At 55.4% G+C, this 12607-nt stretch overlaps 1 protein-coding gene across 54 annotated transcripts in view, besides 4 other annotated features; it reads right to left on the bottom strand.

Annotated features, from left to right (window-relative positions):
• RALGPS1 (Ral GEF with PH domain and SH3 binding motif 1) overlaps positions 1 to 12607 on the bottom strand; it is a 308385-nt gene that overhangs the window by 17540 nt on the left and 278238 nt on the right. For 27 of the 54 annotated variants that reach the window (XM_011519233.2, XM_047424120.1, NM_001322321.2 and 24 more), the window contains 3 exons: positions 10410 to 10536; positions 8996 to 9153; positions 6561 to 6612 (listed from right to left, as the gene is read on the bottom strand). In XM_011519233.2, the coding sequence (XP_011517535.1) occupies positions 6561 to 6612; positions 8996 to 9153; positions 10410 to 10536 (337 nt within the window). The remainder of the gene's footprint in view (positions 1 to 6560; positions 6613 to 8995; positions 9154 to 10409; positions 10537 to 12607) is intronic. The other 27 variants (XM_047424138.1, XM_047424139.1, NM_001322324.2 and 24 more) reach the window with 1 other exon arrangement.
• Positions 5385 to 6373: an enhancer, noted in NCBI's record as "H3K27ac-H3K4me1 hESC enhancer chr9:129961533-129962521 (GRCh37/hg19 assembly coordinates)". NCBI's record gives its function as "activates a minimal SCP1, AML or CMV promoter by ChIP-STARR-seq in naive H9 embryonic stem cells {active_cell/tissue: H9 hESC(naive)}" and the evidence as "EXISTENCE:reporter gene assay evidence [ECO:0000049][PMID:30033119]".
• Positions 6485 to 6534: an enhancer, noted in NCBI's record as "active region_29035". NCBI's record gives its function as "activates an Ori minimal core promoter by ATAC-STARR-seq in GM12878 lymphoblastoid cells {active_cell/tissue: GM12878}" and the evidence as "EXISTENCE:reporter gene assay evidence [ECO:0000049][PMID:35858748]".
• Positions 10003 to 10297: an enhancer, noted in NCBI's record as "tiled region #1494; HepG2 Activating non-DNase unmatched - State 8:EnhW". NCBI's record gives its function as "activates a minimal TATA promoter and a strong SV40 promoter by Sharpr-MPRA in HepG2 cells {active_cell/tissue: HepG2}" and the evidence as "EXISTENCE:reporter gene assay evidence [ECO:0000049][PMID:27701403]".
• Positions 10288 to 10788: an enhancer, noted in NCBI's record as "H3K4me1 hESC enhancer chr9:129957118-129957618 (GRCh37/hg19 assembly coordinates)". NCBI's record gives its function as "activates a minimal SCP1, AML or CMV promoter by ChIP-STARR-seq in primed H9 embryonic stem cells {active_cell/tissue: H9 hESC(primed)}" and the evidence as "EXISTENCE:reporter gene assay evidence [ECO:0000049][PMID:30033119]".

Below are 12607 nucleotides of genomic sequence, written 5' to 3'. Positions count from 1 at the left end.
GCCCGCTTTCTAGGTGCTGACTCTGGAGGAATTGTAGATATTGGACAGAGAAGCTGTGGGCAGAGATTTCCCAGCTACCCATGAAGCAGCAACAGCTGCCTGGCAGGGCTCGAAAACAGAGTCAAGCAAAAAGCCCTGGCACCTAGAGGCCAGGGGTTCTTTGTGCACTCTTCTCTCTGCAGACTTCTCTCAGTCTGCTGGCTGGAGCCTCAACTGCCAGACTTTAGTGTTTGGAGCTAAGGGAGTAAGGCAAGAGATCACATATCGGAGGGAAACCCAAATCAGAAGCTGGCAAATTTTCTAACTGGGCTGCCACCCAGAGGACATTTGGTGAAGAGAACCCTAGTGATCCCTCGACGGGGGGCCTGGGACCTGAAGAGGCTGCAGGCTCTGAGTCATGCACCAAGCTGGGACAGATGGCCCAGGGCTCAGTGTCTCTGAGTCTCATGCAGGAGAGATAGGCCAACTGTCCAGAGCACTGAAGCCAGGCACCAGGCAGCAGAATGAACCCGAGGACACCAGACTCAGGGGAAGAATGAGAGCCTGGGATCCTGGCCTCAGCCACAGGTGTGGGGGACAGTGAGGTCCTCTGCGGTAGTCACCCTGAGAATGGCCACTGGCATGTCTGCTGCAGCCAAGGGGACCTATCACCTGCGGGATCGCCTCCAGAGCCTGGCCTGCCTCTCCCAAAATACTGCAGAGTTTGGGGCTTGAGAGGCATCCTTGGGACCTGGCAGACCTGGGCATCTACCAGGGTCCTCTGATCTTCTCAAGGAAGGAAACAAGTGTCTTTTAAAACTCAGTTTTTGGGGCAGGAGACTTGGTGCTCTGTCACCATGACTGCATTTCCCTGGTGCCTCCCTAAGGATGTCGGATGATCCCACCAGCTAAAACGAACAGGTAAACCTCACATGGGCAGAAACTGCATCACCCAACTCCCTGAACGCCCTACAGCACCACCCCACAGCACTCTGAGGGGCAACTGTCTGCAGCGACCTCTTAGAGGGGCCCTCCCACAGTCCAGTGTCATCCTGGAGGCCAGCAGGTGCTGGTAGAAATTTGCCATCACTCCAGTCCATCCCTCCCATGATGACTGAACTGCATTTGAGGAAACTTTTCTTCCCCCTACCCAGCCTTAGACCCCTGGGTTGCTTTCTTGGTGGTAAGTAGTACCTATTGAGGGAAATTCATAAAAGTCTCCAACTCAGGCTGGACATAGTGGCTCCTGCCTGTCATCCCAGCACTTTGGAAGTGGGGGTGGCCCCCATCTCTACTGAAAAATGAAAATAAAAAAGCTAGCCAGGTATGGTGGCGTGTACCTGTACCCAGCTACTTGGGAGGCAGAGACAGCAGGATCACTTGAGCCTGGGAGATCAAGGCTGCAGTGAGCTATGACAGTGCCACTGCACTCCAGCCTGGAAAACAGAGTGAGACTCTGTCTAAAACAAAAAAAAAAGTCCCTAAATCAGTTCCTCAGATGTGGTAGCTCCACCTATGTGTTAGATCTTCACTGTGCCTAGCCTCATCACAGGGCTGAGGAATGGAGGCTCAGAGGTACTGAGAGCTGCCCAAGGACCTGGGAGGATCAGTGGTCCTAACTTCAGGTCCCCCCGCATGGCTGGCTGTGCCTTTCACTGTGGAGGTCAACGGAGAACTCCAGAGAAGAGGACCTGCCATGGGGCCCAGCCTGTATGAGACTCTAACAGACACCAAGCCCTGGGCCATCTGTCCCAGCCTGGTGCATGATTCACAGGCCACAGCCTCTTCAGGTCCCAGGTCCTGCCTCGAGGGCTCTCTAGGGTCCTCTTCACTAAATGTCCTGGGCTGCTGCTTAACCATCCCCTCCTCCAGAAGCCACCTCTGAGCCTGGTGCCTCATGCAGGTCGCCCTGTTGGATCCTCCCACTGCATCCTGCACAACTGCTTCCCTGACAGGACTTATTTAAGACTCTGAGCTCTGACCCATTCCCTCACCTCCCCCAGAGCAGGAAGAGGAATGGGCTTTGCTTCAGAGAGGGTTGTGCACTGTGCCCCCCAACCCTGCCCCAGCCTCACTTCCCTCACCCACTACAGGGGCCTCCTCTCACCCTGGGCCTTCCAAGGACCCCCCCATCCCCTACGCTTCCCACTACCTGTATTACAGCCTGTGCCTCACACGAGAAGGCCCTTCCACAGAGACAGGTGATTCCGACCAGGGGAGATGGTGGCCAAGGGTTTCGTAATCAACTTTGTGGCACTTTCATACTTCAATTGTTAAAAACTGATCAGTAATCATTTCTGATTATGTTTTCTTTTATACAGTTAAATGTTAATTGTTTTTCTGGGTAGAAAAGAAACATTTACACACTGTGGAAAATCTGAAGAATACAGGGAAAATAAACTCACTCAATAAACCTGGAGACCAGAAATACTCAGGATGAGTGAGACTCTATTTTCATATATACATACATGATCGCCGCTACAATCCACTTTGTTCATCTTTTTAAAAACACCTCATTTAAAATCCTTTAACTCGTAGGCTGATATTCTTGTTTTCATCTTAGTGCCAACACTTGCTTTCCAAATCAGGCAGAAAAAGGCATCTGTTATCCATTACTGCTGCTCCTGACTAAACGCTCCCTTCCCTGTTGGTTTCCAAGGGGCCCGAGGTTGGTTGGAGATCATCCTGACAAGCCCACAGCCCTCCTCTCCAGGTAACTGAATGCCCTGCGGCCGCTGCCCTGCGGCCGCCTCCCCACCTCCCTGGGAGAGCAGAGTGTGCTGGGGGCCCCCCTTCTCTCCTCGCCCCTACTCTCCCCGGCATGAGGTGAGGAAGACTGCTGACCAGGGACACTAGGTGGAGTCACAGAGAAGAGCAGGCCCACCCCTGCCCATAGCTCTCTGGTTCCTGAGGGCCCTGGCCCAGGATCACCACCCTGTCCTCATTCTGGGCCCCAAGGGTAGGGGAGGGTCTTTAAGGCAGCCTGGGGGCTCAGAAGTGACTAACAAACACCTCCCTGCATCTCACTGCCCCTCCCCGACCCCACAGGCCCTGTGTCCTTGCCAAGGCTGACATGGGTGAGGAGACAGGAGGATGAAGAGCAGAAGAGGGTCCCCTTTGCTCTCTGCACCCTTGTTCCACAGTCCAGTAGGAACAGACCCATTCCCACCGAGGGCAGTACAGCAGCTCCGCAGGCCTCAGTGGGCTCCAGCTCCCGTGTGGAAGCTCTTTATGGCCGAACACTATGGGGACCTACTGGGCATCTGCAGCCTGAACTCTGGCTACTACCCAAAGAGGAGACATCTATGTGCATAAACTCAGGGAAGGCAAATTCACCAGACGGGCATGCAGAGTCTCACCCCTGGCCAGACAATAGAAACTCCTGCCTGCCTGCTGACAGTGGCATTCTTAGTGATGAAGGTGTGCCCTCAACCCACCAGAGGTGTGTGTGGTGTGGAGGAACTGGCCTGGGGTCTTCCTGGCTTTCGTCTTGGCATCTGGCTCTATTTCTCTTCCTAGCCTGGGCAGGCTTATTACCAGGGTTGAGGGGCAGGGGGCTGGTGGCAATCTTCAATAGAAGAGTGTGGCCCCTGCGCTTCAGAGCTGTGGGGCGAAATGCTGTCTCCCCCACCACGGCCAAGCCTCCCCCTCTCCTCTCTCACACCTCACTTCTCTGCGTGGCCCAGGCCTCCCCTGCACCCTTGGCTCTGGCTCCACGGCCTCTGTCTGCTCGAGCGGTGCGGCCTGCAGAGAAAGCTGTGTTCTTACGGCATCTGCAGGGAACAGCTCGTGGGGTCTCCGAGGAGGGGAAGCTCTTTCAGGGCAGGTGCTGGCCTCTGGGCCCAGGCAGGCTGACACTCAGTCTTCTGAGGGAGAGGGAGTCTGCTCCCCATTAGAGTAGGAGGATTTGGCCTGGGTGAGAGCTGGGAGTGGAGGGAGGACCTGGAGGAGCTAAGCATCGGGCCCATGAAGGTCAGGAATAGAGAAGACCCAGGAAAGAGCATGAAGGTGAGTAACTGAAAGAAGAGAGCCACAGGCAATGAAGATTTTCAAGCTGCAAGAGGTCAATCTTCCCCTCCGACTCTCCTGTGGACTCTCCAGGAAGGTCCAGAATGCTCCTTTGCTTTTGCGAGTGTGGATTATTTCAGGGAATGTAAGAAGCAGTGCAGGATGGAGATGGAGGCCGGTGGCCAAGGGGCAACTGGCATCTGCTCATCAGGACTGCACGGGGCCTGGGTCTTGACTGGGGGAGACATCGCAGGCCCACTGGCATCCTCCAAAGCAGGTGGCCCCCTGCTCCCCTCAGCAAGGTGGGGCTGGGCCAAAAGCCATCCTCAGAGGATGAGAAACAGGACATCCTCCCTGCAGGGATGTTTCAAGACTGCTGGAGGCAGAGCCGGGCATCTGCGCCAGCCATGAGACCAGTGCTTGGAAGAGATCCCAAAATCACCTATTCTAGACATTCAGATGGATAGTGATCTAAATGCTATGAAATGCTGTGGCCTACAGTGATCATGACAGCATTGCAAACAGCATCATCTCCCTGGGACAAGGAATTCTTTCTCACCACCCTCCTTCCTAGAAGCTCTAATCTCAGTCATGAGTACTTAGCAGGAACTATATCTGCTACACCTTCAGTAACTCGTGTGGTGTCTGGCAGGGAGCAGCTGCTTAACAGCTACTGAATGAATAAGTGAGTGAATGAAGGAATAAGCGAGTGAAAGAATGAATCAATCAATGAACAACAGGTCCAGGTCTAGCTGCTATTCAGGATCTGTGCCTCTGTTTGCCATTTGATGTCTTCTCATTGGCCTGAGGCCAGGGGAGGTGCTGGCCTGCCTGTAAGCTATCTCCCTCAGGGTGTCCCCAGGAGTCCCCTGACTGATGCTGAGAGTTCTAGAGTCTGCCCTTGTGCCTGTCCAGTTCTCCTCCCCACTGCCGGGGTGGCTCCCAGGGTGAAAGCTATTGGCCCATTTGCCTGAGCAACCCAGATGGCCGGGGAGGGGAAAGAGAGAGCCTCTGAGGGCTGGCATATCGCCACTCCCCCACCAACCCCCATCTTGGGTTTCACAGGCAGACAGACTGACTGACCAATATGGGACAGTCCCCGTATCTGGCCAAGCTGTGGAGCAGTGATGAAGAGGTGGCTCAGTGGTCAGGAGGCTGTTGGGTGTGGCTCAGCTCTGTCCATACCAGAGTGTGGAGCAAGTAAGTCACTTTACCTCTCTGAGCCTTGTTTTCCACATGTATAAAACGGGGACACTATGAATGGCTGTTGTGCAGGAGTGCTGAGGATTTGGTACATCCATGCACGCAAAGCACCAGGACAGTGCTTGGCACAGGCCATGCTCAACCAAGAGCACTGACCAGCAGGCAGCCCGTCTGCCCTGGGAGGAGTTGCTAGGCAGCACTTATCGTCTCTCTGGCCAATTTATGATTATGAAGACTAAGGAGAGAAGCTTCAGCGCCAGAGGAGGAGTGTGTGTGTGTGCGTGTATGCATATGAGTGTTTATGCACACAAATGTGTGAGAGGGTACATGCATGCATGCATATGTACGTGTGAGTGTATACACCCACGTGTGACAGTGTGGTTATATGAATGTATACACAAGCACATGTGTGAGCGTGTGCCTGTGTACGTGACACTGCAAGCATAGGTGAGTTCAAGTGTACAGTGTGTGCATGGGTATATGTGTGTGTAGGGCATGTGTGTATATGTGAGTGTGCATGTGTACGTGTGTGTGTGTGCCCAGGGCCCTGGATACTGGTGCAAACCTGCCTTTCCTGGACATTCTGTGTCACTGGTCACTGGATGTTTCCCGCCTCCTCTCAAACCCTGAGTCGCCACGATGCCCTTCACCCCTGGTGGTGCCATGGCTGTGGGGGTACCCCCTTCACAGCATTGCCTGCCTTCCTAGAGATCACCGGGCGCCTGGCACAGGAAAACACTAGTACGTGGAGCTGTGCGATGGGAATTCCTGAGCAGGAGGCCTGGGGCCCTGGCAGACAGGCTCTCCCAGGGAGCCAAACCCTGGGCCAAGGGATCCTCGAGGGAGGCAGAGGGATCCTCGAGGGAGGCAGAGGGATCCTCGAGGGAGGCAGAGGGATCCTCGAGGGAGGCAGAGGCTATGGCCACTTCCCTGTCACCAGTGCCTAGCAGGGTGGGGGTCAATAAATACCGAAGGCCTGAGGCCATTAGGGTGCAATATTCTCAGACCCCACCAGGCGGAGCCACATGCCCATCTCAAGAACAGGCCACTTCTTAGGCTTTTGGTTTCAAGAACCCACACTTCGGACCAAATCTACTCACAGGCCTCCTGCAGCTGTGCTGGAGGAAGAGCCTCCTGGATCAGGGGAGGCATGGGGCTGCTCAGAGCATGGGGGCTGGGGCCCCAGCAACCATCCTGCTCTTCCATCCTCCCTCCTACTCAGCCCTGCCCCAGCCAGTCTGCTGAAGGAGCCACAGAGCAGCCTCATGGGGTGGGTGGGGCAGGGCCCGTCCCTGCCCGGGGCCTGTCTTCGGCTCCCTCAGCCCTGAGCACCGCCCCTGGGAGGGAGGCCATGCTGAGGCCACACTCACCTTTCCAGCCCTGAAGACATCTCTTCACTAAACTCTGAGCTCTCACTACTGCCTGGAAAAGGAACACAGGTCAATGAGCACAACGGCTTCACAGAAGAGGGGCCTGTTCTCCTGGGTCACCGAGCCCAGGCCCCCTGAGCTCACAGAAGTGCCACAGAAACTGCTTCCTGACATTGGGAGCCTCAACGTACTCGAGTTTTTGCTGTGAGTTCTAACTCTGCTCTGGGAGGGTCAAAGAACCACTGTTCCAGGCAGGTCCTCTGCTACCTTCCCACTGCCCCCGGGGGCCACAGCTAACTGCCCACTGGCCCGCTGGGGTCTGGGTCCTCAGGCTTTCTTCTGGGCCTGACCTGGCTCCACCACTGCCTCCCTTCTGGCCCAAGTGAAGCCAGGACTAGAACAGGCCTCACCTGGTGAGGCCAAATGAGCACCTCTTCCTCTTCCCCAAGGGTCAGGACTTGACTAGACGTTGGTCACAGTGCAGCTACCTGGCATTAGACAGAAGCCTCAAGGGAGAGCCCCTGCAGACCCCTGGCCAGTGGGGTCACAGAGAGGGGCTGGGTCCCACAGCTTTGCTCCCTATTCCTCCTTCAGGCCTGTCCCTCTGGGCTGAATGGGCGACCCTGCTTCTCCCGGGCTCTCTAAGCCCTCTTGGAGGAGAGATTTTCTCCTCTCACCCAAGCATCCATGCGCAATGCTTCTGGACTGTCTCTCAGACCTCAGAGGCTCTGAGGTTCAGTGCTCTTTGCCTGAAAGAGCACCAAGGCTGAGCACTGGGAAAGGGGGAGGGAGGAGATCCCAGGCCCCTTGGCATCTGTCTGAGTAACAGCCCTCATCACAGAGGGGAGGACCAGCCCAGCTCCCAACAGGGCACATGCACAAATGGCCGCTTCATCAGGGCTTTTGGCCTCAAACAGAAAAACAGTTTCAATTCCCCAACTTGAGGAGCCGGGAACCAAACAACCTTATGATCTCCTGTCTGGACGTTGGACAGCTCTGCATCTGACTCCGTTTTCTATCTCAGGAATAGCAAGGCCTGGACTCAGGCGCAGCTCACAAAGTTTTCTGGATATAAAACAGCTGTTTTGCCGCCCAGCTGAGTGCTGTTGGGCCGGCATTTCCCAGAGGGCATTCCTCAGAACCCAGGTCCCATTGGACACTCCAAGGAAGAGGGTCCCATGACCAAAGAATGTGGACACTGTGGACTCTGATGCCTTCTTAGAGGACTCCCACCCACCAGCACAGCTGCGTCTCTGGGAAGAAACCTGCACACCTTTGCTCAACCCAGCCTTTCCCCATGCATGACCTGGAACTCTTCTCCCAAGGCACACCTCGTAACCCCGGACACATCGTCCTGAGCTGTTGTATAACCCTGACTGGCTCCAAACAGGATGACCTCCTCTGAGGACAGAGGCAGACACAGAACATGCTTGTCAGACTTCCAGGGCGTGGGAGACAGCGACCCCTGGACTGATATTGCCCATGCCCTCTGAGACTGACTTGCTTTCACAGAGACATGGGAGTGATTCCTGCCTGTTTCTCCTGTCCCCTCCCGCCCCCCACCCCCATGCTCTGGGCCCTCTGCTCTGCAGTCCTCACAAGATCAACTCCCAGCTCGGCAACTGGTCTAACCACCAGCCATGGGAGGACTCCCTGCTAAGGGAAGCCGACAGACACACAGACACACAGACCACAGAGGCACAGGCACACCGAAAGGCAACAGGCATCAGAGCACACTGGCCTGACGGCAGTAATAACAGGGCGGTGCCCACCTGTCCTCAGCTGACCTGGACACTGCAGGGGTACGGACCTACAACCAGAGCTCAACACCAGCCTGAGTCCTAATGTCAAGTTCTTCTTATCCCAGCCTCAGCAGCACAATTTCTGTCTCTTCTGTTGCCATAAGCACCACGTCTGGCTGACACTCAGTGATGCAATTTCATCCCTGAATATCAATTTTTCATCCTCCCTCCTTCTAGCTTCCCATTGTGAAGACAAGTACGCAGTGAGAACCCAGTGGCCACCCAGCTACCCTCCCTGGCTGCCTCTCCTGCTTTGCCCTGCAGGGCCCTGTGGGTCATGATCCCCCAGGGACAGAAGCCTGACTGTGGTCCAGTCTGGTCTGGGGAGCTGCCAGCCAATGGCAGCTGGTCTCAGGCATGTGTTTGGCTGCTTTTTCTACCTGCCTGCCATGCCACCAGCAGGATGACGACAGATCCAGGGCTCTTCATGAAGCCCACGAGGCTAGGAGACAAGGGTTTCCCTGGGTCTGGGCGATTCCTGCAGGCAGCCACCTCTGCAGGGAGGTGAGGGGCCACTGGGTCCCCAAGAATGATAGCGCCACTGGGCATGGCACAGTGACACAGAGACAGACACGGAGCACACGCTGGGCCTACAGCCCACCAGCCTATCATGTGCAGGCCGGAGACGCTTACCTAGGGAGAGTCCATTGGTGACAGCAGAGGAGGAGGTCAGAGCCAGGCCCCTTCGGGGGCTGCGGGACTCTAGGACACTGTCGTCCAGTAGGTGCCTTGCTTTCTCCGATGGGAATGTCGCACTTTTACTCTCAACTACACTCAACTGACACATCATACTGGAAAATGGAAAGGAAGAAAGAAGGCAAAGCTCCTTATCTATGGAGTGACAGTGGTTACACCTGCCTGGGGCCGGAGCAGATGGTGCAGCTGCAGGAAAAAGGCCTCCACCCAGAGCCACGGTACAGCCCAGGCTCTGTCCTCTCTCATGCCATGACCTTGGGCAAGTCACATCCTTTCTCTGAGCCTCAGTTTCTCCATCCATCCAATGGGGATAACGATACTTGCCCTGCCCATCCCCCTGGTGGCTATGAGGCTCGAGTGAGCAGATGTGCTCGTGAGTGATGAGGCTGCACAGGTGAGCAGCAGTGGGCCTGTGGCCAGGATGTCTGCTCCTGGAGTCACATGCACCGGGTCCAGACCCTTGCTCTGATGTTTTTCCACCATTGCAACGAACTTCACCTTGTTGAACCTCATTAGACTCGTTCTCAAAATATGTAATAATAGCACCCACCTCAGAGGCCTGCATGGGGACTCAGGGAGATCATGCTTGACAGGCATATGCAGAGTGTCTAGCACAGAGGGCTGCTTAACACTCAAAGAGCAACTCTTTCTCCTCCAGCCTTGGAGCTCCTCCAGGGCCTGCCTAGGCTGGGCTGAGCTTGTGCCTTGGAAGTGGTAGGTAGGTAGGTAGGTAGGAAAGAAGGAAGGAGGAAGGGAGGGAGGGAGGGAAGGAAGAAGGGAGAAAAGGAAGGGAGGGAAGGAAGGAAGGAAGGAAGGGACTCATCTGTTCGGAAGCCTGTGCCTAATGCCCTGGAGACACAGGCACAGTTGCCCTAGCCATGCCGAGGGCTCACGCATGTCCCCCAGCTATGGGCCTCACAGGACTGATGAGCCAGCAGGTTCACTGCTCTGTAGGCAGATGCCATGAGAAACTGAACACTGCCCTGGATGACAGTCACTGGTGTCTACTGGACTTTGGGGTTTTCCATGAGTCATTAACTGGGCTTGGGCAAATTCTCTGGAATGCCACTGCTACTTCCCTGCCCTTCCCTGCACCCTTCCTCCATCAGCTGCTGAGCCTGAGACACCTGTCGGTGGTGTGGAGTCAGTGCTGCCACAGTGCCCCTCAGCTCCTCCCAAGCTCACACCAGCCTCAGGAAAGCGCACTGGCCAGGATTCCAAGAGCTCTCATCAGCAACTCCCAGAACAGGGCAGGGGAGGGACCCAGCCAGCAAGTGATTCCCTGCACTGTGCCCAGGCCCATGTGCAGGACGGTCTGAAGCCCGGCGGGAGGGCTTGCTCAGTCACCCACTTGTTGCCTAGGCTGTGGCTCTTCCTGTGTCTGGGGACTGGAGGTGTGGGGAGGCTGCCAGCAACAGATGTGTCAGGACAGGTGGGCCTCCGGCTGAACCTCGCAGAACCGGAGCCAGCAGAGGGACCTGCAAACAGAGCAGAGAGAGCAACAACGGGGGTTATGATGGGAGGGTGAGGGGCTGCACAGGCTGGGTTGAGGTGTGGAGGTGGGCCCCGGGTTTGAAGTACAGCAACTGGCCCAGCTGTCACAGGTGGGGCAAGGTTCATATGAGCTCTGTAGCTTCCTACTCATTAGATATTGATCCTTCACTCTCCATATAGTACTTGACTCCCAAGGCTGACAACCAACTCTCAGGATGGTCAATGTCCTGCTGTCCTGGCCAAAGGGAGGGCACCATGGATGGACATGGGGATAGTCTTGGCCCTGCTTCACCATGGCATGACTTATCTAAGGACATCCAGCTGGTGAATGACAGAGGTGAGACTTCAAAGTATGTCTTCTAGGCCGGGTGTGGTGGCTCACGCCTGTAATCCCAGCAATTTGGGAGGCCGAGGCAGGTGGATCACCTGAGGTCAGGTGTTCGAAACCAGCCTGGCCAACATGGTGAAACCCCATCTCTACTAAAAATACAAAAATCCACCGGGTGTGGTGGCGCATGCCTGTAATCCCAGCTACTCGGGAGGCTGAGGCAGAAGAATCGCTTGAACCCGGGAGGTGGAAGTTGCAGTGAGCCAAGATTGTGCCACTGCACTCCAGCCTGGGCAACAGAGTGAGACTCCGTCCCCAAAAAAAAGTGTGTCTTCTAACACCAAGTCCATTCCCTTACCCCTGAGCTCTTACACAGCCACTTTCTGGTCTCTATGTACTCATTAAACAAAAAGGGGCAAGAGCACAGCTAGACAGATAGGGTTCAGATCTTAGGTCTTTCATTTGCTACCTGGGACCATGGATAGGTTACTGAACATATCCCTTGAGCTGCAGTTTCCTCATCTGAAAAGTGGGAATAATTCAACTCACCTTGCAGGTGGTCAGAAGTCCATGAGGTAATGTACGCAGACTTTCATAGTTAGCCCTCATACTTAATTTATTATGGTAATTATTACCATGTCCTTCTCAACCCAGTCATGGGGCTAACAGGTCACCAGAGCCAGGGAGTTAGGGGCGCAAACCTCACTGTGCACAATACACAGACACTGAGGCCAAATCCTTCATGCTGGCCATGTCTTCAGCCATGTCTGGAGGAATGTGACCCTGGCCACTGTGGCACTCTTTAGTTTCTGTGGCTTGGGAAGGGAGGTCTTTAAGGGAGGTGACTCCAGAGGCTCGCCTAGCTCTGGCTATCTGGGTCAGGCCCTGGGGGTGGGAAAGAGTGACTCTACAAAGGGGCTCAGCTGCTTCCTGCAGAGAACACCAAATGCAGAGCAGATCAAGGGGGTGGCTGCCTGGCCATGGCTGGAGAACTTTCTTGGGGGGACCCATAAGGCCCAAGCCCACCCAGACCTCCAGGTCCTCCAACACAAGGCCCTACAGACCCACCAGTGGCCTACAGGTTCCCATGTCCTCCAGCCTGCTTGGGTCATCTTAATGTCCAAAATAATGACCCACACCCCCAGCCCGTATACTGTGGGAAGGCTGGCCCATCTGGCATTTTGGCAGATTCAGGAGGCAAGGGCACTTGCATCACCTCCAGTTCTGAGCTCCTGTGCTGGCTGAGTGCTCACTTCCCATGAGTTGTCTTCTCTGCTGTCCCCCCTCCTTCCCAACCCCACTCTGCACAGGCACCTTCTCCTTCATCCGCCCCCACCAATCCCTTTATTAAGCCTTAGCCAACTTTCTTATTCTCAATAACATTCCAAAATGTCACTTCTTTCCTCAGTGCCCCCGGGCAACTCCAAGACCCCACCCCTTTCAAATGCTGCCACTCTTTACTTCAGTGACAACACTGGATGTCAGGTGGGATCTCTCTCACAGCCACCCTTGCAGTGGCCATGCACACCTCCATTCACACTGGCCTTCCCACCAGGCCGGGGCCCTTCTCTTCTCTCAGGTCCTACCCGTCTCCTCTGATAATTCCCTGCCTCACTTTCCCCTTCTCTCTCTGGCTCCTTCCCCCAGCCTACAGGCAAGCTCTAGTCTCTCTTTCCCTGTAAGCCAAGGTCCTTCACTGGATCTTTTCCCAGCAAATGGAGGTCTGT

Source organism: Homo sapiens, chromosome 9 (genome assembly GCF_000001405.40).
Source record: "Homo sapiens chromosome 9, GRCh38.p14 Primary Assembly".
Classification (NCBI taxonomy): domain Eukaryota; kingdom Metazoa; phylum Chordata; class Mammalia; order Primates; family Hominidae; genus Homo; species Homo sapiens.
This window is presented reverse-complemented; position numbering and strand designations above follow the sequence as displayed.